This window comes from Homo sapiens, chromosome 5 (genome assembly GCF_000001405.40).
Source record: "Homo sapiens chromosome 5, GRCh38.p14 Primary Assembly".
Classification (NCBI taxonomy): Eukaryota; Metazoa; Chordata; class Mammalia; order Primates; family Hominidae; genus Homo; species Homo sapiens.
The window spans coordinates 139,475,235-139,499,603 of NC_000005.10; the positions used below are offsets into that span (position 1 = coordinate 139,475,235).

At 48.5% G+C, this 24,369-nt stretch overlaps 1 protein-coding gene and 2 pseudogenes across 3 annotated transcripts, besides 7 other annotated features; 2 read left to right on the top strand and 1 right to left on the bottom strand.

Moving 5' to 3' along the window:
* On the bottom strand, window positions 299-7,524 carry STING1 (stimulator of interferon response cGAMP interactor 1). 3 transcript variants are annotated; one of them, NM_198282.4, is made up of 8 exons: window positions 7,316-7,524; window positions 6,976-7,068; window positions 6,244-6,470; window positions 5,925-6,108; window positions 5,556-5,664; window positions 3,036-3,274; window positions 2,095-2,281; window positions 299-1,220 (listed from the first exon to the last, which is right to left on the bottom strand). In NM_198282.4, exons 3-8 carry the CDS (start codon window positions 6,468-6,470, stop codon window positions 1,027-1,029), a joined length of 1,140 nt encoding a protein of 379 aa, NP_938023.1. In that variant the 5' UTR covers window positions 6,976-7,068; window positions 7,316-7,524; the 3' UTR covers window positions 299-1,026. The 3 variants fall into 3 exon arrangements, with proteins under 3 accessions (NP_938023.1, NP_001354187.1, NP_001288667.1); NM_001367258.1 differs by lacking the exon at window positions 6,244-6,470; NM_001301738.2 differs by lacking the exon at window positions 2,095-2,281.
* Window positions 5,790-6,084: a silencer, noted in NCBI's record as "tiled region #11914; K562 Repressive DNase matched - State 2:TssF". NCBI's record gives its function as "represses a minimal TATA promoter and a strong SV40 promoter by Sharpr-MPRA in K562 cells {active_cell/tissue: K562}" and the evidence as "EXISTENCE:reporter gene assay evidence [ECO:0000049][PMID:27701403]".
* Window positions 6,687-6,916: an enhancer, noted in NCBI's record as "active region_23234". NCBI's record gives its function as "activates an Ori minimal core promoter by ATAC-STARR-seq in GM12878 lymphoblastoid cells {active_cell/tissue: GM12878}" and the evidence as "EXISTENCE:reporter gene assay evidence [ECO:0000049][PMID:35858748]".
* Window positions 7,437-7,566: an enhancer, noted in NCBI's record as "active region_23235". NCBI's record gives its function as "activates an Ori minimal core promoter by ATAC-STARR-seq in GM12878 lymphoblastoid cells {active_cell/tissue: GM12878}" and the evidence as "EXISTENCE:reporter gene assay evidence [ECO:0000049][PMID:35858748]".
* Window positions 7,577-7,696: an enhancer, noted in NCBI's record as "active region_23236". NCBI's record gives its function as "activates an Ori minimal core promoter by ATAC-STARR-seq in GM12878 lymphoblastoid cells {active_cell/tissue: GM12878}" and the evidence as "EXISTENCE:reporter gene assay evidence [ECO:0000049][PMID:35858748]".
* Window positions 7,615-17,907, top strand: LOC101059986 (cancer-related nucleoside-triphosphatase-like; annotated as a pseudogene).
* Window positions 9,549-10,049: an enhancer, noted in NCBI's record as "H3K4me1 hESC enhancer chr5:138864368-138864868 (GRCh37/hg19 assembly coordinates)". NCBI's record gives its function as "activates a minimal SCP1, AML or CMV promoter by ChIP-STARR-seq in primed H9 embryonic stem cells {active_cell/tissue: H9 hESC(primed)}" and the evidence as "EXISTENCE:reporter gene assay evidence [ECO:0000049][PMID:30033119]".
* Window positions 11,176-11,676: an enhancer, noted in NCBI's record as "H3K4me1 hESC enhancer chr5:138865995-138866495 (GRCh37/hg19 assembly coordinates)". NCBI's record gives its function as "activates a minimal SCP1, AML or CMV promoter by ChIP-STARR-seq in primed H9 embryonic stem cells {active_cell/tissue: H9 hESC(primed)}" and the evidence as "EXISTENCE:reporter gene assay evidence [ECO:0000049][PMID:30033119]".
* Window positions 13,236-13,425: an enhancer, noted in NCBI's record as "active region_23237". NCBI's record gives its function as "activates an Ori minimal core promoter by ATAC-STARR-seq in GM12878 lymphoblastoid cells {active_cell/tissue: GM12878}" and the evidence as "EXISTENCE:reporter gene assay evidence [ECO:0000049][PMID:35858748]".
* On the top strand, window positions 18,607-22,740 carry NCOA4P4 (nuclear receptor coactivator 4 pseudogene 4; annotated as a pseudogene).

The window sequence follows — 24,369 nt, forward strand, 5'->3', positions numbered from 1 at the left end:
GACACAGCTGTGTTCCTTCATGGCATCATTTGTGTGCTGGCTCAGGCCAGCCTATGGTCCCTGCTCCCCAAGCCTCTCACTGAAGAGAAAGGCACTGAAAGGACAGGTGCCCTCAGCCCAACTGGTAGGCTCTGTCCAGATGGTAAATGACACGCAGCACCCTGCTGCCCTGTACCAAGATGAGGAGGGGTGCAGGGAGGCATGCATGTGCAGGCAGGTTTGGACATTAGGGACAGTAATTCCCATCTGTTATATCGGTCAGAGTCCAGCAGGAAAAAGACGACACACTCACATTGGGTAATCTGAGATGTGCTTTAAAAAAGGACCGTTGAGAAAGGGGTGGAGTATAAGGAAACCGCAAGTGAGAGGGAGTACTCTAGTGGGGTGGGGGTGCCGATACACAGCTAGGCTTAAGGGGCCAGGGAAGGAAGTGGTGCCAGAATCCTAGAGATAGTCATGATTACGCAAGAGTTGCCCGGCAGGAGAGTCCATAGCAACCTTGATGCTGCAGGGTGGGAGCCGGGGGATTCAATACCCCAAACTCAGCCTCCTCCTCCTCTCCATTCTTCTGCTGGGGCTCCCCAATAATGGAACATGACCAGGAGCCAGAGGGCGAAGGAGCCTGTTGATACCATTGAGAGAGTTCGGCGTCCCCGGGCAAAGGAAGGGGAGAAGGGTGGGGAGTGGGTCTGGAAGGCCCCATGAAAGACACCTGGCACACCCCCTAAGTACACTAGCATCCAAAGTTTATGAAAAACTTCCACACACTCAGTCCTCACAACAACCGTGAGGGAGGTAAGGCAGTGATTATGATCCCATTTCACAGGTTGAAGACACCGAGGCTCAGAGAGGGGAAATGACTGGCCCAAGGGGACAAGACGCATCTTAAGATGTCAAGTCCTGGACCCTTCCCTGCAAGGCCCCCTGTGGAAGGAAATAGCTCTGCTGGACATTCAGCCACTGAAGAGAGCCCCCAGTCCAGAGGCTTGGAGACCACTGGAGGCTCTGGCCTGGTGACCCTGGGTCTCAAGAGAAATCCGTGCGGAGAGGGAGGGGCTTTTCCATTCCACTGATGAGGAGCTCAGGCTCTTGGGACATCGTGGAGGTACTGGGCACCGCTGAGGTCTTCAAGCTGCCCACAGTAACCTCTTCCTTTTCCTCCTGCCGCAGGTGCCGGAGAACCTCCTGGGACAGCGAGAAGCTGCTGTCATCTGCAGGTTCTGGAACAGGGAGATAGGGGAGAGAGTAATGAGGATCTTACCCATTCCCACTCAAACATACCTAGAGAACTTGCTGGGAAGATCCCCTAACCCTCCCTACCCCCCTTCCTACCCAAGCCCCAGCCACTGGGACTAGAGTTTCATAGAATCCTAGAGGTAGAAGTGGTTCAGGCCTGGCACAGTGGCTCACGCCTGTAATCCTAGCACTTTGGGAGGCCGAGGCAGGTAGATCATGAGGTCAGGAATTCAAGACCAGCCTGGCCAATATGATGAAACCCCGTCTCTACTAAAAATACAAAAATTAGCTGGGCATGGTGGCGGGCGCCTGTAGTCCCAGCTACTTGGGAGGCTGAGGCAGGAGAATCGCTTGGACCCGGGAGGTGGAGGTTGCAGTGACCCGAAATCGAGCCACTTCACTCCAGCCTGGGCAACAGAGTGAGACTCCATCTCAAAAAAAAAAAAAAAAAGTGATTTCAGAGAGAATGAAATTCCACCCTCTTACTTTTAAAGCTAATGCTCAGAGAGGAGCAGAAACCTGCCCGAGGTCACACAGTGAGGGAGTAGTAGAGCCGAGGCTGCAGCCCTAGTCTCCTGTGCCCAGTACATACTGGCCTGGGACTCTTCTGTTTCCTCTGGAATCCTAGATGAAGTGAGAGGCCCCTAGAACCCACCTCTTCAGGCTCCCCTGAGGGATTACAGTCAAAGACCTAAAAAGCAATCTGGTGTGCTGGGAAGAGGGGGCTTCTCCCAGGGAAGGAAGGACAGGCCCAGGGCATGGTGCTCCATAGCCCCTTCTGACTCTTTGGGAGACCCTGGGACCCCTGACTCCTCCTGCCCTCCAGCCTATCAACCCCTCACCCTACCAACCCCTCACCCTGGTAGGCAATGAGGCGGCAGTTGTTCTGAGACTCAGGGGCATCTGCCAGGATGTCCTCAAGTGTCCGGCAGAAGAGTTTGGCCTGCTCAAGCCTATCCTCCCGGCTAAAGCCAGCTTGACTGTATTGTGACATGGCAAACAAAGTCTGCAAGGGGGTGGCGTACTCCAGGACACAGGTGCCCGCCTAGAGGAGGTAAGAGGAAGACCAGACTAAGCCAGGGGCCAGGCGGATGGAGAATGGAGGGTCCAGTCCAGGCTCTGGCCCCCAGTGCCACGGGCTGAGGCCCCACTCCCTCAGCCTGTAACGATAGAGTCCTGGGAGGTGGCCACCCTAATGGGGTCTATGCTGTCTGGCCTGCCTTTGCCTCTGATACCCAACTCTGAAATCAGGGACACGGCTGGGCTAAATTTACCCTTCACAGATCCTTCTTCCAAGATCCTAGGGCAAGACCCGAGGCTGTCAACTGCTCCAGCTGGGAATCAGGTCTGGGGCTAGGCTCTGGGTTCAACTCTGGTCTGGGTTCCCCTGCACCCACATGAATCCTTCAGATGTTCTCACAGCCTTCGTCTGGGGCAGCTTTATGGTCAAGAGCATGGTACAGTCAAGTTTAAATCGTCCACTTTCCTACGGTGTCTCTGAGCCTCAGTGTCCTCCTCTGTAAAGTGGGAATGCTAACAGTCCCTACCCCATAGGGTGGTGGTGAGAATTCAATGAGGTGATCAGATGACACACCCAGAATAGCATCCAGCTTGTAGTAAGTGCTCGATAAATGTTACTCATCATTATCATTCAGAGCTGAATCCTGCCCAGACCTGGGACCAGCTAGGGACACTACAGCTCAGAGAAGGGCAGTGAATTTTCATCAGTGCTTGGCTAGGGCCCAGGGTTCTGGGGTCCTGACCCCTCCTCAGAGACCCCCACTCCCCTGCACACTTACCCGCTGCCCGTTCTCCAGAAGCTCATAGATGCTGTTGCTGTAAACCCGATCCTTGATGCCAGCATGGTCACCGGTCTGCTGGGGCAGTTTATCCAGGAAGCGAATGTTGGGGTCAGCCATACTCAGGTTATCAGGCACCCCACAGTCCAATGGGAGGAGAATATACAGCCGCTGGCTCACTGCACCCCGTAGCAGGTTGTTGTAATGCTGATTGTAAGTTCGAATCCGGGCCTGGAGCTCTGAGGCAGGGAAGCCCAAGAAGTTATTCCTGCTAACCCTATCTCCCACCTGATTCAGGAGTGAGACCCAGGTCATTGGCCCCCGCAGTGTGTGGGTGCCAGAGAATGGAGAGTCCAGTGCACTCTCATTGTACAGGAGGCCAGGAGGGGCAGCGCCTCCAAAAGCCCTCCCCACCCCTCCTCTTACTGCACCACCCTTTACCCTCCCTCACTTCTTTCCTCAGATGTCTATGTCAGCGCCACCCCTTTCCACCATGGCTTTCAGGGCTGAGAGGCAGGCAGAGCCCTGAGAGGTGACATTTCCAGCATTCTCGTGTGCACAGAGGGAGGCCTCTAGCCCCAGATCAGTCTCCTAGCGGAAGCCCTAGGAGATAGCAATGAGATATGGAAGAGCTGCCGCTTTAGCCTGCAAGTCAGAAGAATAAAACACACAGGCTTAGGGCAGGCACAGTGGCTCACGCCTGTAATCCAGCACTTTGGGAGGCTGAGGCAGGTGGATCATTTGAGGTCAGGAGTTTGAGACTAGCCTGGGCAACATGGTGAAACATTGTCTCTACTAAAAATACAAAAATTAGCCAGGCATGGTGGCACGTGCCTGTAATCCTAGCTATTCAAGAGGCTCAGGCAGGAGAATCACTTGAACCTGGGAGGCAGAGGTTGCAGTGAGCTGAGATCTTGTCACCACTGTACTCCAGGCTGGGTAACAGAAAGAGACTTCATCTCAAAACAACAACAACAACAACAACAACAACAACAACAACAACAACAACAACAAACACAGGCTCCACGGTGCAGTGGTCTAGGGTCCAGGCTCTGGACAAACCTGGGTTCAAATCCTTTCTCTTCCTCTCTCTAAGCTATGTGATATCGGATAAATCACTTTACCTCTCAGAACTGCACTTAAAAAAAAAGGCCAGGCACAGTGGCTCATGCCTATAGTTCTAGCACTTTGGGAGGCCGAGGTGGGTGGATCACCTGAGGTCAGGAGTTTGAGACTAGCCTACCCAACATGGTGAAACCCCGTCTGTACTGAAAATACAAAAATTAGCCGGGCGTGGTGGCAGGCACCTAAAATCCCAGCTACTTGGGAGGCTAAGGCAGGAGAATCACTGGAACCTGGGAAGCAGAAGTTGCAGTGAGCCCAGATTGTGCCACTCTACTTCAGCCCGGGTGAAAAAGTGAAACTCCATCTTAAAAAAAAAAAAAAATCTAAGGCTGGTGCAGTGGCTCATGTCTGTAATCCCAGCACTTTGGGAGGCCAAGGTGGGTGGATTACTTGAGGTCAAGAATTCAAGACCAGCCTGGGCAACATGGTGAAACCCTGTCTCTACTAAAAATACAAAAAAAAAAAAAAAAAAAAAAAAAAAAGCCATGCCGGTGGCAGGGACCTGTAATTCCAGCTACTTGGGAGGCTGAACCCAGGAGGCAGAGGTCGCAGTGAGCTGAGATTGTGCTACTGCACTCCAGTCTGCGCAACAGAGTGAGACTTTGTCTCAAAAAAAAAAAAAAAAAAAAATCTAAAATAGGTATGGGCTTGGTGGCTCCTGCTTGTTATCTCGGCACTTTGGGAAGCCAAGGCAGGAGGATTGCTTGAGCCCAGGAGTTGAGACCAGGCTGGGTAACATAGCAAAACCCTCTTCTTTTTAAAAAATATATAAATAAAATAAAACAGGAATAAAGATTATTCCTTCCTCATAGGGTGTGAATTAGAAAAGGCACATGAGAGCACACAGCATGCAGTAAATATTTATTGAAAGAATTTACAGCTGGGCTCACGCCTGTAATCCCAGCACTTTGGGAGGCTAAGGCAGGCGGATCACTTGAGGTCAGGAGTTTGTACCGGCCTGGCCAATACGGTGAAACCCTGTCTCTACTAAAAATACAAAAATTAGCCGGGCGTTGTGGTGGGTGCCTATAATCCCAGCTACTCGGGAACCTGAGCCAGGATAATCACTTGAACTTGGAAGGAGGAGGTTGCAGTAGCCGAGATGGTACCACTGCACTCTAGCCTGGGCGACAGAGGGAGATTCCTTCTCAAAAAGAAAAAAAAAGAATTCACAAGTGACCTTGGGCAAGTCACTTAATGGCTCTAAGCCCCATATTCCTTTCTGCAAACTAGGCATCATAGCAACATCCTTCATGCCTTGGGATTAAAGGATTTGGTAGACATGAAAATGCTTTGAAAAATATAGTGAGTTCTGTGTGTTTAGAAACACAAGAGGCTGTGTGTCTTAGTGTCTGTTTTGTAGATCGAGAAATGGGGGCAGAGAGGATGGCCCACCTGGCAGGATCAGCCGCAGATATCCGATGTAATATGACCATGCCAGCCCATGGGCCACGTTGAAATTCCCTTTTTCACACACTGCAGAGATCTCAGCTGGGGCCAGGCCCTGTGGACAGCAGGATGTGGCTGGGGGGCCTCCATCAAGGACACCCAGAGAACTCCTCCTCCTCCTCCAAGGCTTCCCAACCTGCTCCTGACTTGATCCCTCTTTTGCCATTGCCAAACCCACTGTTCCAGGACATTATAGGTTCTACTCCATGGACTCCAGCCTTTAAACCAGTCCCACTCCCAGTACTCAGCTCAGGGCAGGTCACACCAGCCACAGCCACCACTTGGCCAGAGCTTCTACCTCCCCCTGTGTCATACCTTGAGGCCCAGGAGGATGTTCAGTGCCTGCGAGAGGCCCAGGAGGGCAAGCATCCAAGTGAAGGGCGGGCCGACCGCATTTGGGAGGGAGTAGTAGAAATAGATGGACAGCAGCAACAGGGCCCCACGGCGGAGGGGGCAGCCCAGGCAGGCCCGCACAGTCCTCCAGTAGCTGCCCCGGTACCTGTGAGTGACAGCCAGACCCCAGACCCCAGCCCCCAGCCCAGCTCAGCCAGAGAGGTTCAAGGAGGGGCAGGGCTAGGCATCAAGGGAGTGACACACGTTGGATACCCCGTCCCTGGGTACTGCAGTGAGTCACCTGGAGTGGATGTGGCGCAGCTCCTCAGCCAGGCTGCAGACCCCGTTTAACAGCAGTCCCAGCTGCAGGGAGGCTAGGTGGAGCACCAGGTACCGGAGAGTGTGCTCTGGTGGCTCTCCTAGCCCCCAAAGGGTCACCAGGCAGGCACTCAGCAGAACCAAGGCTGCCTTCTGGGCCCCGTGACCCCTGGGACACGGGATGGATGGATGCAGGCTGGAGTGGGGCATCTGTGGGCACCAAGAAATCCATGACCATTCTCCCCTTGCCCTCCTGCCCTTCTGGGACTGAGGCTCTGGCTGGGCACTTCCTCCCAGTTCCCCTTTCCCTGGTGCCCAGCCACTCCCAGAGGCTGCTCTTAGAGACACCTCTAGGAGGCAGGCTGGGAATAAGTCACCCCAAAGCTCCTGTCTCAGCGAGGTTTGCTGAAAACAGAGCAGGGCCTGCACATACACGCCCCACCAAGACCCAGGGAGACCACAGGTGTGGTGAAGAAAGAAGGCAGCAACTATCCCAGACCCAGACTTGAAGCTGTCCTGTGCAGCCGTACCCAACCAAGAACCCTTGGGGACCTGGGTTCCCCTGTCCCCGGAACCCACCCCAGGGAGGACCTTAGTCAACAAAGTGGAAAACAGAGCTCAGGGAGTGGGGACAGGGCAGCCAGCAGGCACCCCCTCGCCTCTGGGTGCCAGGGGCCCTAGGTTTGGCGTTCTGCCAGGCTGATCTTGAGCCTACCTTCTGCCTCCCGGACACTGGCTGCTCTGGATGATGACGAGGAGAGAAGGCCCGGCGCTACGAGCAGCCAAGGGCAGCTTCTCTGAGTGCAGCCTGAAAATGAGATGTTAACAACGATTGGTTTCTCCACAACACTCTAGCCCTGGCGTTTCTCCAAACCGCAGCTTTACTGGTGCTGGGAAGGAGGGTATTTCCTGTTCCTCAGGAAGGGAGGTAGGAACCTTCCCTCAAAGCCCTGATGAGCTGGGCCTGAGTCCTGGGGTCAGGGGTGAGGTTTGAGAAAGCCTCCATTCCATTGCCCTTTGCTACCCCCAAACCAAGGGTGTTTAGAAACACTCACCGCAGTCACAGCTCTGAACAGCGGGTTCCCCTCAAGCCACCACGATCAAACACACTGTACCTAACACCTGAGCAGGACTCCACACACTCAGCCAAAGGCAGCACACACATCACACGATGATTCCCCGTCTCATATTTTTCTTCTGGTTTCCAGGATGCAGATTCTTTTTCTGAAAAGTGTGACCTAGGAGGGAGGAGTGAAAAATGAACAGTTATTTCCGGTAACAAGAGCTATTTTTATAAAGCACTTGGTGGGAGAGGAGGGGCACAGAGGAATGGGGGTTTGGCTCTTTGCAGGAAATGGCCACGCCTGTGACTTCTCCAAGAGAGCCTGCCGGTTTCTGCCCAGAAGGCGGTTGTGGGGATGATATTAGGTAGGAGCAAAAGTAATTGCAGGCCTGGCACAGTGGCTCATGCCTGTAATCCCAGCGCTTTGGGAGGCCGAGATGGGTGGATCACTTGAGGTCAGGAGTTCAAGACCAGCCTGAGCAACATGGTGAAACCCCATCTCTACTAAAAACAAAAATTAGCCAGGCGTGGTGGTGGGCGCTTGTAATCTTAGCTACTTGGGAGGCTGAGGCAGGAGAATCGCTGGAACCTGAGAGGTGGAAGTTGCAGTGAGCAGAGATTAGGCCACTGCACTCCAGCCTGGGCAACAAGAGCGAGACTGTCTCAAAAGAAAAGAAAAGAAAAGAAAAGAAAAATGATCTGACCTACATTGTTTGAGTGTAGGTTATAAAATCCCCATGCATCAACCTAAATTATAATAATAATAATAATAATAAAGTGTTTACCTTGTTCCAGACATTATGCCAAGTGTTGCATATATCACTTCACTTGTATATCATTTCACCAGCCACCCTGTCAGGTAGGTATAATTCTAGCCCCATTTTATAGATGGATAATCCGAGGCTCAGGGAGGTGAAATAACTGGTTTAAGTAATTGAGAGTGGGGACTTGAAGCCTGGTGGGTTGCTCCAAAGCCCAGCTTGCTCTGTGCCTTGATTTCATTCCAGTAATCCCAGCACTTTGGGAGGCCAAGGCAGGAGGATCACTTGAGCCCAGAAGTTTGAGACCAGCCTAAGCAACACAGGGAGATCCCATCTCTACAAAAAAAAAAAAAAAAAATTAGCCAAGCATGACGGAACACGCCTATAGTCCCAGCTACTTGGGAGGCTGAGGTGGGAGCATCACTTGACCCCTGGAGGTAGAGGTTGCAGTGAGTTGTGATGGCACCACTGCACTCCAGCCTAAGTGACAGAGTGATACCCTATCTCAAAAAAAAAAAAAAAAAAATAGGCCAGGCGCAATGGCTCATCCTTGTAATCCTCGCACTTTGGGAGGCCAAGGCAAATGGATCACTTGAGGTCAGGAGTTCGAGACCAGCCTGGCCAACATAGTGAAACCCCATCTCTACTAAAAGTACAAAAAATTCGCTGGGCGTGGTGGCGGGTGCCTATAATCCCAGCTACTCAGGAGGCTGAGGCAGGAGAATCGCTTGAACCCAGGAGGCGGAGCTTGCGGTGAGCCGAGATCATGCCACTGCACTCCAGCCTCGGCAACAAGAGTCAAACTCCATCTCAAAAAAAAAAAAAAAAAAGGCCGGGTGCAGTGGCTCACTCCTATAATCCCAGCAATTTGGGAGGCCAAGGCAGGCAGATCACCTGAGGTCAGGAGTTCAAGACCATCCTGACCAACATGGAGAAACCCCATCTCTACTAAAAATACAAAAAATTAGCTGGGCGTGATGGCGCATGCCTGTAATCCCAGCTTCTTGGGAGGCTGAGGCAGGAGAACTGCTTGAACCTGGGAGGCGGAGGTTGCACTGAGCCGAGATCGTGCCATTGCACTCCAGCCTGGGCGACAAGAGCAAAACTCCGTCTCAAAAAAAAAAAAAAGAGAAGAAAGAAAGAAAAAGAGAGAGAGAGAAAGGAAGGAAGGGAAGGGAAGGGAAGGGAAGGGAAGGTCTGACCTACATTGTTTGAGTGTAGATTATAAAATCCCCCTTCCAGAGAGGGCCCTGCCCCACACTCAGAAAGAAGGAACACACGCTCAGAGAGGCCAAGAAGAATCTAGACAGACGGGCGAGGCTGGGTTTCCCCACTCATTCTATTAGCATTAGAGCATACCCTTTCTGTCCAATTATATTTCAACAAGGGTGTCCATACTTTAATGAACCTAAACGTAAAAATAGACAATTTGCCCTCTGTCTTTGGGTCTTCATTCTGAAGGCCTCTGTGACACATAAAACTCTGATCAAATAAATTTGTATATTTTTCCTCCTGTTAATCTGCCTCTTGTCAGTGATTTTCAGCAAGCCTTCAGAGGGCGGAGGGGGAATTTTTCCTTGGCCTTGACACAAGCTTTGAGTTCCCTTGGGGTGGGAAGTGTCTCTGGCTGCAGTAAGCTGCTTCAAAGAAGGGGCAGGCCTGGAGAGTGAGGCTAGGATGGCACCCGCAGAGCAGCAGTAGTTCATTCCTGTCCAGGTCAGAGGGGTCCTCGCCCTGAACCCTTCCCCACATCATGACCAGACATGGGAAGACACACATTGATAGATGCCTTGGCCTCAGAGGAGCAATGAGGCTTCCTGGAAACTCTGGTTTTTCAAAATCATGCCCTAACAATGCAGGGAATTCCCTACACTTTCTCTCCTCTACAATAGGCTCACATAAAGACCTAGGAGAAGGCCAGGCGCAGTGGCTCATGCCTGTAATCCCAGCACTTTGGGAGGCTGAGGCGGGCAGATCACGAGGTCAGGAGATCGAGGCCATCTTTGGGAGGCTGAGGCAGGAGAATCGCTTGAACCCGAGAGGCGGAGGTTGCAGTGAGCCAAGATCGTGCCACTGCACTCCAGCCTAGGCGACAGAGGCAGACTCCATCTCAGAAAAAAAAAAAAAAGATCCAGGAGAATATATGACAAAGTTCTAACAAAGGTTACTCTGTGCAGTTGGAATATGGGTGATTTTTATTCTATTGTCCTTTTTTGCTCATTATGTTTTCTAAGATTTCTTTTCCCTACATTGAACATGTATCATTTGTTTAATGTTTATTTATTTATTTATTTTTAAATTTTTGAGACGGAGTCTTGCTCTGTCGCCAGGCTGGAGTGCAGTGGTGCGAACTCAGCTCACTGCAACCTCCGACTCCCTGGTTCAAGCAATTCTCCTGCCTCAGCCTCCAGAGTAGCTGGGATTACAGGCACGTGCCACCACACCCAGCTAATTTTTGTATTTTCAGTACAGACGGGGTTTCACCATGTTGGCCAGGATGGTCTTGATCTCCTGACCTCGTGATCCTCCCACTTTGGCCTCCCAAAGTGCTGGGATTACAGGCGTGAGCCACCATGCCTGACCTGTTTAATGTTTAAAATATGCCGTAAAGAAAATCCAGCTGGGCACAGTGGCTCACGCCTGTAATCCCAGTGCTTTGGGAGCTCAAGGCAGTAGGATCGCTTGAGCCCAAGGAGTTAAAGGCTGCAGCAGTGAGCTATGATCACACCACTGCATTTCAGCCTGGGTGACAGAGCAAGACCTAGTCTCAAAAGAGAGAGAGAGAGAGAGAGAGAGAGAGAGAATCCCAACATTGTCTCAGTCTTAAGACCTCCTTCCACTCCCGTCTGTCCCCTCTCCCTCCCCTCTGCCCTACCTGCTACTCTGGGCTCATTTCCCTGAGTCTGAACCTGCTCTAATGCAGACCTTGCAGGCGCAGAAGGCACTGAGGCCAGGTCATTCAGATAAAGTAAGCTGGGGCTTGGCCAAAAGGAGTGGGAATGGTGGGGTCCAGGGAAGCCGGGAAGCCAGCCTAGCCTGGCCTGCCTGGAGAGAAAGGTCCTGCAGGGTGCGGGAAGGAGTGCAGGCTGCGAAGGGAGCAGAGGCCCCACAGCCTGGGCCTTCCAGTGCCAGGCCAGGATTTCCGCACACCCTTAATCCATGCAGTCTATCCCTGTGTGTACCGTGCTTTGCATGGGATAGGACTGCTGGTGCACGTGCCAGGTCAGTACTTGTCATGGCACCTACAGCTGGACAGGGGAAATGGGCAGAACACAACTGTATGAGTAAGTAGTTAACTACAGATGTGGCAGGGCTACAAGGAATGCACTCAGCCTGCTGCCGTGAGCGGAAATTGGAATACCCAGGGTCAGGTTTCCCTGAAGGCAGCGATTTACCCTGAGTTTGGAAGGAGGATGGGAGTGATGGAGGGCGGGTGGGTGTGCAACATTCTGAAAGGAGCAGCACACACAAAGGCCCTGGAGTGGGAAGGAGCCAGGCAGTGGAGGAACAGAGCAATGGCTGGTGCAGCTGGGGCAAGTAAGCATGTGGAGGGGTCTCTGTTAGTTTCCAAGAACTGCCATAACAAAGTATCACAAATTTCGTGGCTAAAAACAACAGATGTTTATTCTCTCATAGTTCCAGAGGCTAGAAGTCCAAAATCAAGGTGTTGGTAGGGCCACACTTCCTCTGAAATCTCTAGAGTAGCGGTCCCTAACCTTTTTGGCACCAGGGACTGGTTTCTTGCAAGACGATTTTTCCATGGATGGGAAGGGGGATGATTTCAGGGTGAAACTGTTCCACCTCACATCCGAGCATTAGTTGGATTTTCCTAAGGAGCATGCAACCTAGATCCCTCGCATGTGCAATTCACAATGGAGTTCGCACTCCTATGGGCATCTAATGCCGCCACTGATCGGACAGGAGGCAGAGCTCAGGCTGTAATGCTCGCTCGCCCACTGCAGCCCGGTTCCTGACAGGCCACAAACCAGTTCTGGTCCGAGGCCCAGGGACTGGGGACTCCCGCTCTAGAGGAGGATCTCTCCTTGCCACTTCTACCTTCTGGTAGTCCCAGGTGTGTCTGGACCCAACCTCTGCCTCCTTCATCACGTGCCATTCTCCCTTCTGTGTCTCTGTCTTCACATAGCCTTTCTTGTTATGAAGACACCAGGTGAAGGTACAGTGGCTCATGCCTGTAATCCTAGTGCTTTGGGAGGCTGAAGCAGGAGGATTGCTTGAGGCTAGAGTTCAAGGCCAGCCTGGGCAACACAGGGAGACCCCATCTCTAGAAAAAAAAAAGGCCAGGCACGGTGGCTCATGCCTGTAATCCCAGCACTTTGGGAGGCCGAGGCAAATGGATCACCTGAGGTCAGGAGTTCGAGACCAGCCTGGCCAACATGGTGAAACCCCGTCTCTACTAAAAATACAAAAAATTAGGTGGGTGTGGTGGCAGGACCCTGTAATCCCAGCTTCTCAGGAGGCTGAGGTAGGAGAATCTCTTGAACCCAGGAGGCGGAGGTTGCAGTGAGCCGAGATCACGCCGCTGCACTCCAGCTTGAGCAACAACAGCGAAACTCCATCTCAAAAAAAAAAAAAAATTAGCTGGGCATGGTGGCTCACGCCTGTAATCCCAGCTTCTCAGGAGGCTGAGGCAGAATTGCTTGAGCCCAGGAGGTGGACATTGCAGTGAGCTGAGATTGCACCACTGCACTCCATCCTGGGGGCAGAGTAAGACTCTGTCTCAAAAAAAAAAAAAAGCACCAGTCACTGGATTAGGACCTACCCTAATGACCTCACCTTAACTCAATTGCATCTGCAAAGGCCCTATTTCCAAGTAAGGTCACATTCACAACTACCATAGATTAGGATTTCAGTATTATCTTTTTGGAGACACAACTTAATTCATAACAGGGTCAGTGGTATAAGAACGGGACTGGAGGGTGGGTGGGACCCTTGTGGCTTGTGGCCAGGGCCTCAGTACCTAGGAAGCATCACAACAGCTGCATTCATGGGATTGTCCTCAGCAGTAAGACACTTCAGCTGTATTGACAAGCAGGGACATCACAGCTCTTCCAGACTGACCATCTGGTCCTCCAAAGAGGAAGCTGAGGGCCATGGAGGGAAGTTAGGCCCAAGTTCCAGGCTGCCTGGCTTACTGGCTGCAGCTCTCAGGCTGGTGGTGCTGAGTTCCCACACTCCGCTCCACAGCCTGCTCCTTCCTCTGGTAGTTGCTTCTTCCCTCCAGACACCCCGGAAGTGCTGGTCTGGGCTGGCTTTCATTTCTATTTCCAGCTGAGTTACAGCTTTCACGAGTCTTCCCTGAAACTCATTATCAGTGGTCCCAGTGAGAAATAAGCCCCCATGCTTTCATTCAGGGGACTCTGGGCCTTGGACAGAGTGTGAATGGGGTAGGGAGGCCTCTGGCCTCTATGGAGCCACTCTTTTGCCCACACAACCTCAGTGCCCCTTAATCCTACCAGAATAGGGACATTGGGGGGATTTTATCAGTTGATCACAGTAGACCTGGTTTCCAATCTGGCCTCTGCTTCTTCTGGCTGTGTGACCTTGGCCCAGATATGCAACCTCTTTAAACCCAAATTTCCTCATACCTAAAATGGGGATAGCAACATCTTTTATCTGACAGAATTGTTTTGAGAATGGAAAGAAAAAATGCATAAATGCATGTGCAGACCTGATTTGTAAATGCTCAGTAATTGCTAAGTCTTTTTATTTTATTTATTTATTTATTTATTTTGAGATGGAGTCTCACTTTGTTGCCCAGGCTAGAGTGTAGTGGTGCAATCTCGGCTCACTACAACCTCCGCCTCCTGGGTTCAAGCGATTCTCCTGCCTCAGCCTCCCGAGTAGCTAGGACCACAGACACATGCCACTATTTTTGTATTTTTGTATTTTTAGTAGCGATGGGGTTTCACCATGTTAGCCAGGCTGGTCTTGAACTCCTGACCTCAAGTGATCCACCCATCTCGGCCTCCCAAAGTGCTGGGATTACAGGTATGAGCCACCTTGCCCAGTCATTTTTTGTTTTTGTTTTTTTTTGCTTGTTTGTTTGTTTTTGAGACAGGGTCTGTCTCCCAGGCTGGAGTGCAATGACAATCACAGCTCACTGCAGCCTTGACCTCCCAGACTCAGGCAATCCTCCCACCTCAGCCTCCCAAGTAGCAAGGACTATAGACTTGTACCACCATGCCTAGCTAATTTTTGTATTTTTTTTTTGTAGCGATGGGGTTTCACCATGTTGTCCAGGCTGGCTTAGAACTCCTAGGCTCAAGCAATCCACACACCTCAGCCTCCCAAAGTTCTGGGATTACAGATGTGAGCCACTGCACCCTGCCAGTAATTGCTAACTCTTATCACCACCACCAGCACCATCACCATCATTATCACCACTGACAATCACACTCTTGGAGTTGCCAGCCCCTCTTACCTTGGTTTCTACCTTGGGCTCAAATCACCTCTCCTGCAGACACAGAGATTTGATATCTAATCCAGGGGTGGCTTCTGGGTCTGACTCCAGCTGCCCCTCTGTTATAATTCTATTGTCCCATCATGGAATTAACTATTGTGTCATGGTCTTCCCTAAACAAGATGCTATCCTAGTAGACGTAATGAGGAAAGAGGGGCTAGATGATGGTGTGATTGGGGGCAGGGAAGCACAGCTGGCTGGCTGAGCTGCTATATCTTCAGGAAGTGAACAATGGACCCACATTTTGTTGGAAGGAGGTATCTAGCCGGGTGCAGAGATCTACCATTTATTTATTTATTTATTTATTTATTTATTTATTTATTTATTTATTTTTGAGATGGAGTTTTGCTCTTTTTGCCCAGGCTGGAGTGCGATTGTACGATCTCTGCTCACTGCAACCTCCGCCTCCCAGGTTCAAGCAATTCCCCTGCCTCAGCCTCCCTAGTAGCTGGGATTACAGGCATGCACCACCATGCCTGGCTAATTTTGTATTTTTAGTAGAGATGGGGTTTTTCCATGTCAGTCAGGCTGGTCTTGAGCTCCCGACCTCAGGTGGTCCATCCCCCGCAGCCTCCCAGAGTGCTGGGATTACAGGCATGAGCCACTGCGCCCAGTCTTGTTTATTTATTTACTCATTTTGATAATAGCTTTATTGAGATATGTCATATATTATACGGCTCACCAACTTAAAGCATGCTATTCAATTCAATGGTTTTAAGTATATTCACATAGTTGTGCAACCATCACCACAGTTAATTTTAGAACATTTTTGTCACTCCCAAAAGAAACCTGTACCTTTAGCCATTGATATAGTTTGGCTCTGTCCCCACCAAAAATCTCATCTTGAATTGTAATCCCCATAATCCCTACATGTCAAGGGTGGGACCAGGTGGAGGTAATTGGATGATGAGGTGGTTTCCCCCATGCTGTTCTCATGATAGTGAGTGAGTCTCATGAGATCTGATGGTTTTATAAGCGTTTGGCATTTCCCCGGCTTACACTCATTCCATCCTGCTGCCCTGTGAAAAAGGTGCCTGCTTCTCCTTTTCCTTCTGCCGTGATTGTAAGTTTCCTGAGGCCGCCCCGGCCATGCAAAACTGTGAGTCAATTAAACCTCTTTCCTTTATAAATTATCTAGTCTTGGGTATTTCTTCATAGTAGTGTGAGAATGGACTAATATAACCATCAACCCCCAACCACCAACCAACACCCCTACCTCATCCCCAGACAACCACTAATCTGCTTTCTGTATCTATAGATTTGCCTATACTGGACACAACATAAATCGAATCATGCAATATGTGATTGTGTCCGGCTTCTTAGCATCATGGTTTTTTTTTGTTTGTTTTTTATGTGTGTGTTTTTGAGATGGGGTCTCGCTCCATCACACAGGCTGGAGTGCAGTGGTGCGATCTCAGCTCACTGCAACCTCCGCCTCCTGGGTTCAAGCGATTCTCCTCTCTCAGCCTCCTGAGTAGCTGGGATTACAGGCACGAGTCACCATGCCCAGCTAATTTTTTGTATTTTTAGTAGAGACAGGGTTTCACAATGTTGGCCAGGCTGGTCTCGAACTCCTGACCTCAGGTGATCAGCCCTCCTTGATCTCCCAAAGTGCTGGGGTTACAGACCTGAGCCACTGCGCCCTGCCCTTAGCATCATGTTTTACAGGTTTGCCCATGTTGTAGCATGTATCAGTACTTCATTTCTTTTTATCCTTCTTGTTGCCAAAAATATTCCATTGTGTATAATGTTCCATTGATATACCACTTTTATTGACCATTAATTAGTTAAGGACAATTGAGTTATTTCCACTTTTTGACTATTATAAATAATGCTGCAATGATCATTCATGCCCAAGTGTTTGTGTGGACACACATTTTCATTTCTCTTGGGTATGTACCTGGGTGAGGGGATGCTTGGTCATATGGCAACTCTATATATAAACTTTTGAAGAACTGCCAGACTGCTTTCCAAGTGGTTGCACCATTTTACTTTCCCACTAGTTATGTATGAGGGTTCCAGTTTCTCTACCTCCTAGTCAATATTTGCTATTCTCTGCCTGTTAAATTCTAGCCATCTAGTGTATGTGAAGTGATATCTTATTTTTTTATTTTAAAAAAATTTTGAGCCAGGCGCGGTGGTTCTCGCCTGTAATCCCAGCACTTTGGGAGGCTGACGCGGGTGGATCACAAGGTCAGGAGATCGAGACGAGCCAGGCCAACATGGTGAAAACCCGTCTCTTCTAAAAATACAAAAATTAGCTGGGCATGGTGGTGGGTGCCTGTAATCCCAGCTACTTGAGAGGCTGAGGCAGGAGAATCGCTGCAACCCGGGAGGCGGAGGTTGCAGTGAGCCAAGGTCATGCCACTGCACTCCAACTTGGTGACACAGCGAGACTCCATCTCAGAAAAAAAAAAAAAAAAAAATTGGGGGCCGGGTGCAGTGGCTCACGCCTGTAATCCCAGAACTTTGGGAGGCCAAGGTGGGCGGATCACTTGAGGTCAGGAGTTCAAGACCAGCCTGGCCAACATGGCGAAACCCCGTCTATACTAAAAATACAAAAATTAGCCAGGTGTGGTGATGCATGCCTGTAATCCCAGCTACTCGGGAGGCTGAGGCAGGAGAATCGCTTGAACCTGGGAGGTGGAAGTTGCAGTGAGCCAAGGTCATGCCACTGCACTCCAGCCTGGGCAACAGAGTGAGACTCCATCTCAAAAAAAAAAAAAGAAAATTGCTGGGGGCCTACGGTACAGGGTGAGCAGGGCCTGAATCGTGACCCTGACCTGGACCTGACCTGAATTGCAACCCTAACCCGACTGCAACCCTGACCACGACCCCAGTGGATTTTATAGAGAGGAAGTCAGACAGGGAGGGAGAAGAATAGGATTTGATGTCATCGTGTTGTTTGGCATCCAGGGGCCTTTATTTAGAGTTGGGTTAGAGCCTCCACCTGGAAAATGTGGATGCCAAGTTGGGCATTATGTGGTTAACCTGACTTATTTTGAGCAGTTGGCGCTCCCTATCTTGAGGAATGCAGATTCCAGCAGTGACCCAGGGCAGAGAGTGTGTGTCACTGATGAGAGTGGGAAAATGAAACTCTTTAGTTAGCCTTTCATCCAATCTGTTTGTCAGATGCTATCTACCCCAGGGACTATAATCGCTGGCACAATCCCAGTCCCTAAAGGAAAGTCACTGGCCCTTGTAGAAGAAATCAGAAACAGAAATGATGTGAAAGTGTTTAATGTCTCCAAGGAAGACAGAAACCACCTTCTGCAAGATATTGTGATGTGTGTGCAGAGCAGCAGGAAGCGAAGACATGTGTTCCTGCTTTTCTACCCGTGAAGGGGTGCCCAGTTCAAGAGGAGCCCGATGGAGCCCTGCCTGCCACGGCTGTATGCCTTTGGGGTTATGATAGCTTGTGGGCTTTTCTAGTGAAAATGTCAAATGTTTTCCATAAAATGTTTAAAAGATCAAATTAGCCTTAATGCTGGATTGTCTGTACAAGATTAATAATCCATTGTGGCTTATGTATGCTTAAAGATTTCTGTTTATTTCCTCTTGCAGTCGTGCACATGATTTGGGTAAATTATGAGATGAGAAATGGTTTTCAGAGTATTAGATGGAATTTGCCCCCATCGAAGTTTATAAATGTGTTCACAGGGAGGGAGGAATAATAGCTCATTGCCTAACCAATTTTGCAGGTCATGAAAATGAAATCCCTTTCCAGGTGCAGCTTCAGTCCCATGCAACTTAAAATAATAACAGTTATTTGATTTTTTAGAAAACTATTCCAAAAGAAAACCATTTTAGGTAATCTCCCCCAACTCTTACTATTTGTTTGCTTATTGCTTCATAAATATAAAAATAAATCTAAAGGTTATAGACAAAAGAAAAAAATTTTTTAGTCTGGAAGCAGTGGCTCATGCTTGTAATCCCAGCACTTTGGGAGGTCGAGGCCAGCAGATCACTTGAGGCCAGGAGTTCAAGACTAGCCTGGCCAATGTGGCCAAACCCCATCCCTATTAAAAATACAAAAAATTGCTTTGGGCCCTAGGTTTGTGTGGCCCGTGTCTCAGCCCACCCAAGGTCCCCTCGGATCGCTCAGAGAGGCACTCGGACCTGGAGCAGTGAGCAGAATGAATACCTTCTAAGACCAGAGTGGCAGCTCCAGTAATAGAGAACCCCTTTTGAGGCCAGGCACGGTGGCTCACACCTGTAATCCCAACACTTTGGGAGCCCGGGGTGGGCGGATCACGAGGTCAGGAGATCGAGACCCTCCTGGCTAACACGGTGAAACCCCGTCTCTACTAAAAATACGAAAAATTAGCTGGGCGTGGTTGCAGGCGCCTGTAGTCTCAGCTACTCAGGAGGCTGAGGCTGGAGAATGGCCTGAACCCAGGAGGCGGAGCTTGCAGTGAGTCAGGATCGCGCCACTGCACTCCAGCCTGGGCAACAGAGCGAGACTCTGTCTCAAAAATAAATAAATAAATAAATAAATAGAACCCCTTTTGAGGTGTAGTGATGCATGGAGGGACTTGGAGCTTGCTATTGGTGGAGTTCTCCGGGCTGAACAGCAAATTAAAGATAACTTGAGAGAGGTCAAAGCTCAGATTCACAGTTGCATAAGCTGTCACCTGGAATGTCTTAGAAGTTGTGAGGTGTGGCTATATGAACAGGTAGACCTCATCTATCAGCTTAAAGAGGAGACACTTCAACAGCAGGCTCAGTAGCTCTAGTGGTTATTGGGCCAGTTCAATTTTCTTACTCATCAACTGGACTGTACCCAAAACAAAGATCTAGCCAATCAAGTCTGCGTGCCTGAAGAGACTGGGCAGTTTGACCCTTAAGCCTAAAGATTCAACTATCTCGCTCTTTGAAGCTGACACAAGTGCTCTGCGCCAGACCATCACCACATTTGGGTCTCTCAAAATCATTCAGACTCCTGAGCACTTCATGGCTCATGCTAGTTCATCAAATATTGGGCCCTTCCTGGACAAGAGAAGCTATAACCCAATGCCAGAGCAGAAGTCAGCATCCAGTATTGTAGCTGTCCCTCTCAGTGAATGGCTGCTTGGGAGCCAACCTGCCAGTGGTCATCAGGCTCCTTACATACCCAGCACCAACCCCCAGGACTGGCTCACCCAAAAGCAGACCTTGGAGAATAGCCAGACTTCTTTCAGAGCCTGCAATTTCTTCAGTAATGTCTGGGGAAACCTAAAGGGCTTAGAAAACTGGCTCCTCAAGAGTCAGCAACAGGAAATTCCTGAAAAACCAAGTTATCAAAACTGTAACAGCCATTCCACTACTAGTCATTTCTCCATTGAAATGGAAAAGTTTGAAGATCTAAAGCTTCCTGATCAAGATGAGATGGACCTATCAGATTGGCTGGTGACTCCCCAGGAATCCCATAAGCTGAGGAAGCCTGAGAATGGCAGTTGTGAAACCAGTGAGAAGTTTAAGCTCTTATTCCAGTCCTATAATGTGAATGATTGGCTTGTCAAGACTTACTCCTGTACCAACTGTCAGGGAAACCAGCCCCAAACTGTGGGGATTGAAAACCTGGGCAATCTGAAGTGTCTGAATGACCACTTGGAGGCCAAGAAACCATTGTTCACCCTCAGCATGGTTACAGAGGATTGGCTTGTCCAGAACCATCAGGACCCATGTAAGGCAGAAGAGGTGTGCAGAGCCAATGAGCCCTGTACAAGCTCTGCAGAGTGTGTGTGTGATGAGAGCTGTGAGAAGGAGGCTCTGTATAAGTGGCTTCTGAAGAAAGAAGGAAAGGATAAAAATGGGATGCCCGTGGAACCCAAACCTGAGCCTGAGAAGCATAAAGATTCCCTGAATATGTGGCTCTGTCCTTCTAGAAAAGAATTAATAGAACAAACTAAGCACCAAAGGCAGTGGTTCCTTCTAGAATTGCTGATTCCTTCCAAGTCATAAAGAACAGCCCCTTGTTGGAGTGGCTTATCAGGCCCCTATACAAAGAAGGAAGTCCCAAGGAAGGGCCTAGCACTGAAGACAGAACTGGCAAACAAAAGCTTAAAAGGCCCATATGAGCACTTCCTGGTGTCCCTTTAACACAGCTGACTGGGTCCTGCCAGGAGAGAAGATGGGCAATCTCAGCCAGTTATCCTCTGGAGAAGACAAGTGGCTGCTTTGGAAGAAGACCCAGGAAGTATTACTTAATTAACCTCTACAGGAGAAACATAACTTCCCCCGAGACCATTACCACCTCCCTGCAGTTTGTGATCTCTTTGCCTGTATGTAGCTTAAAGTTGATAAAGATAAGTGGTTATATCAAACTCCTCTACAGATGTGAAGGATTGGACAAGAGTTGAGCAGCCTTTCTGCCTATTATCACACATCATGAGCTAAGTGACCGCGGCTTGCCAAATCATTGTGTTTCTGGGTCTGACCAGTTAGCTTAGTTCTTCTCCTGCCTAATTTTGAACTAGTAAAGCAAAATGAGTCATCAGATTATGAGTTATTGTTTAAAAGAAAAATGCTGTTTATTGATGCTGAGGTGATTCAGTTCCTTCCTCCTTACAGAAGTATTAATTCACCCACACACTAGAAATGCAGCATCTTTGTGGATATGTCTTTTTCACAAGCCTCCAAGTCTCCTTAGATTGGGTTGTTACTAAAAGTACATTAAAACACTCTAGTTTTAAAAATGAAATATTTCTCTAATCAAAGTGTATTGATGTATTCTAAAGATAGTAAATTCCCTAACATTTAATTGCCCTATAGATGCTTCTCTTGCTGTGGGTTTTCTTCTGTTAGTGGTCTGAAATAATGATTTTCCTGTTCTATTAATATATAGTGTATTTTGCACAAAAAATTAACCTGCCCAATGGTGGTTACCAAAATATATATTAATAATCTTGGCAATTTTTGACATTAATTACCAAACATTTTAGCCTACATGTTAGTTCTACATTATTACTTTTCACTTGAAAGGAACTCAGCTACTACAAATTTTGTCTTTCTTTCTTTCCATAAATGTTATTTAAAAATGCAGTGAGCTCTTTTAAAAGGGCTCGGTATTATTTCAACACTATTTTTGAGGTAGTTCTAACCTTTTAAAATATTCTACAGCCCAGCCAGGTGTGGTGGCTCACCCCTGTAATTCCAGCACTTTGGGAGGCCGAGGCAGGTGGATCACGAGGTCAAAAGTTCAAGACCAGCCTGGCCAAGATGGCGAAACCCCATCTCTACTAAAAATACAAAAATTAGCTGGGTGCAGTGGCAGGTGCCTGTAATCCCAGCCACTCCGGAGGCTGAGGCAGGAGAATCGCTTGAACCCTGGGGGCGGAGGTTGCAGTGAGCCAAGATTGCGCCACTGCACTCCAGCCTGGGTGACAGAGTGAGACTCTGTCTCAAAAAAAAAAAAAAAAAATTCAGACCCACAGAGTTTAAAAGAACCCCAATACTGACTAAGCAAATAGGCAAAAGACCTATTGGAAATAGTACTTGAACGATTCACTATCATAGGGATTATTGGTGCATCCTGTGTAAATGGAAGCTGAGCTTGACACCCGGTGCTTTAAACTAGGGATAAAGTCGTCCTCTCACTGCAAGCACAGCATACCTGTATCTCCAAAAGTGATGTTCTAGTGAACAGGCCGTTTTCAACACTTGTGCCTTGGGGTGTTCATTGAAGCTTTATGAAAACTACTGATGTTTTCTCAATCTCCTTAAAGTTATGTCCATGCTTTAAAATGTCTCTGTAGGAGAGAAGTGGAGTTTATGTTTTTAAATTCTCTAAGATATCTTTACTGCTTTCCAGACTTTGAAACTATTAAGCTTCTTAACTGCCTGTTATTGAAAATACTTCTACGGAAACTTCATGGTCCCACAATGTCATTGCCATACAGCTTCACTAGAGTTCTTTGAACCACAGCTGAAAAGAGCTTTGTCTTATTTTTTAATTCCCTCCCCAGATATCATTTAGAAGTATCATAATAAAGGTGGTGAGCAAAAACAACGTAAAGAGCCTTTCCAGTTATGTTAAGTTGCAGCTAACTCTCTACTTTCTTTTCTGAGGCCAAACACACTGTACTTTACATTGTCAAGATATAATTTACATTAATCACTATGTCTATGAGTATGTAAAACATCTTTTGCATTGATGAATTTTGTACATGCCACCATTAAAAGCATAACAGCCATTAAAAAAAGATACAAAAAATTAGCCAGGCGTGGTGGTGCATGTCTGTAATCCCAGCTACTCAGGAGGCTGAGGCAGGAGAATCACTTGAACCCAGGAGGCGGAGGTGGCAGTGAGCCGAAATCATGCCATTGTACTCCAGCAGGGCAGTGACAGAGCGAGACTCCGTCTTAAAAAAAAATAAAAAGAAAAAAGAAAAGAAAAAATTTCTTTTAGAGAGGGGGTCTTACCATGTTGCCCAGGCCGGAGCAAAGTGGGTATTCACAGATGTAATCATAGTGCACTACAGCCTCAAACTCCTGGATTCAAGGATCCTTCCACCCCAGCCTCCCAAGTAGCTGGAATCATAGGTGCTTACTACTACACCCTGCTCATTTTTTAATTGGGTTATCTTTTTATTATTGTAATAATTTATTATTTTATTATAAGAGTTCTGTATTCTAGATACGTTACTTATCAGATATATTAGTTTTAAATTTTTTCTTCTTCTTCTTCTTCTTTTTTTTTTTTTTTTTTTTTTTTTGAGACAGAGTCTTGCTCTGTCACCCAGGCTGGATTGCAGTGCATGATCTTGGCTCACTGCAGCATCTGCCTCCTGAGATTTTCTGAGTGATTCTCCTGCCTCAGCCTCCCGAGTAGCTAGGACTACAGACATGAACCACCATGCCTGGTTAATTTTTGTATTTTTAGTAGAGATGGGCTTTCACCCTGTTGGCCAGGCTCGTCTCAAACACCTGGCCTCAAGTGATCCACCTGCCTCAGCCTCTCAAAGTGCTGGGATTACAGGTGTGAGCCACTGCTCCCGGCAATCTTTATTTATTTTTTTGAGACAGAATCTTGCTGTCACCCCAGCTGGAGTTGCAGTGGCATGATCACGGCTTACTGCAGCCTCAAACTCCTGAGCTCAAGTGATCCTCCCATCTCAGCCTGCTGAGTAACTTGGGCCACAGGCACGCACCACCATGCCTAGCTAATTTTTTATTTTTTGTAGAGACGGGGTCTCACTACTTTGGGTTATCTTTTTGCTGTTTTCATGGTGTCCTGTGAAACACAAAAGTTTTTAATTTTGGTGAAATCCAATTCATCTACCTTTTGTTTTGTTTTGTTTTGTTTTTTGAGTTAGCGTTTATCTCTTGTTGCCCAGGCTGGAGTGCAGTGGCGGGATCTTGGCTCACCGCAAACTCTGCCCCCTGGGTTCAAGTGATTCTTCTGCCTCAGCCTCCCAAGTAGCTGGGATTACAGGCATGCACCACCACGCCTGGCTAATTTTGTATTTTTAGTAGAGATGGGGTTTCTCCATGTTAATCAGGCTGGTCTCGAACTCCCAACCTCAGGTGATCCGCCTGCCTCTGCCTCCCAAAATGCTGGGATTACAGGAGTGAGCCACTGCCCCCAGCCTACTTTTTCTTTTGTTATTTGTCCTTTTGGTACCATATCTAAGAAAATCTTGCCTGAGCAAGTCACAAAGATTTATGCCCATGTCTTTTTCTAAGAGTGTAAATAGTTCTAGCTCTTATATTTAGGTATTTGATCCATTTCGAGTTCTTTTTTATATGGTGTGAGATAGGAATTCACATTTATTCTTTTCCATGTACATATTCAGTTGTCCCAGCACCATTTGTCGGAAAGAC

What these genes read in the sequence shown, in the direction of transcription:
- STING1 (NM_198282.4), bottom strand. Translation starts at nt 6,470, where the DNA reads ATGCCCCACTCCAGCCTGCATCCATCCATCCCGTGTCCCAGGGGTCAC. An exon ending in CTGCGCCACATCCACTCCAG is followed by an intron (nt 6,109 to 6,243) that starts GTGACTCACTGC and finishes TGTCACTCACAG; the next exon opens with GTACCGGGGCAGCTACTGGA. An exon ending in ACATCCTCCTGGGCCTCAAG is followed by an intron (nt 5,665 to 5,924) that starts GTATGACACAGG and finishes TGCTGTCCACAG; the next exon opens with GGCCTGGCCCCAGCTGAGAT.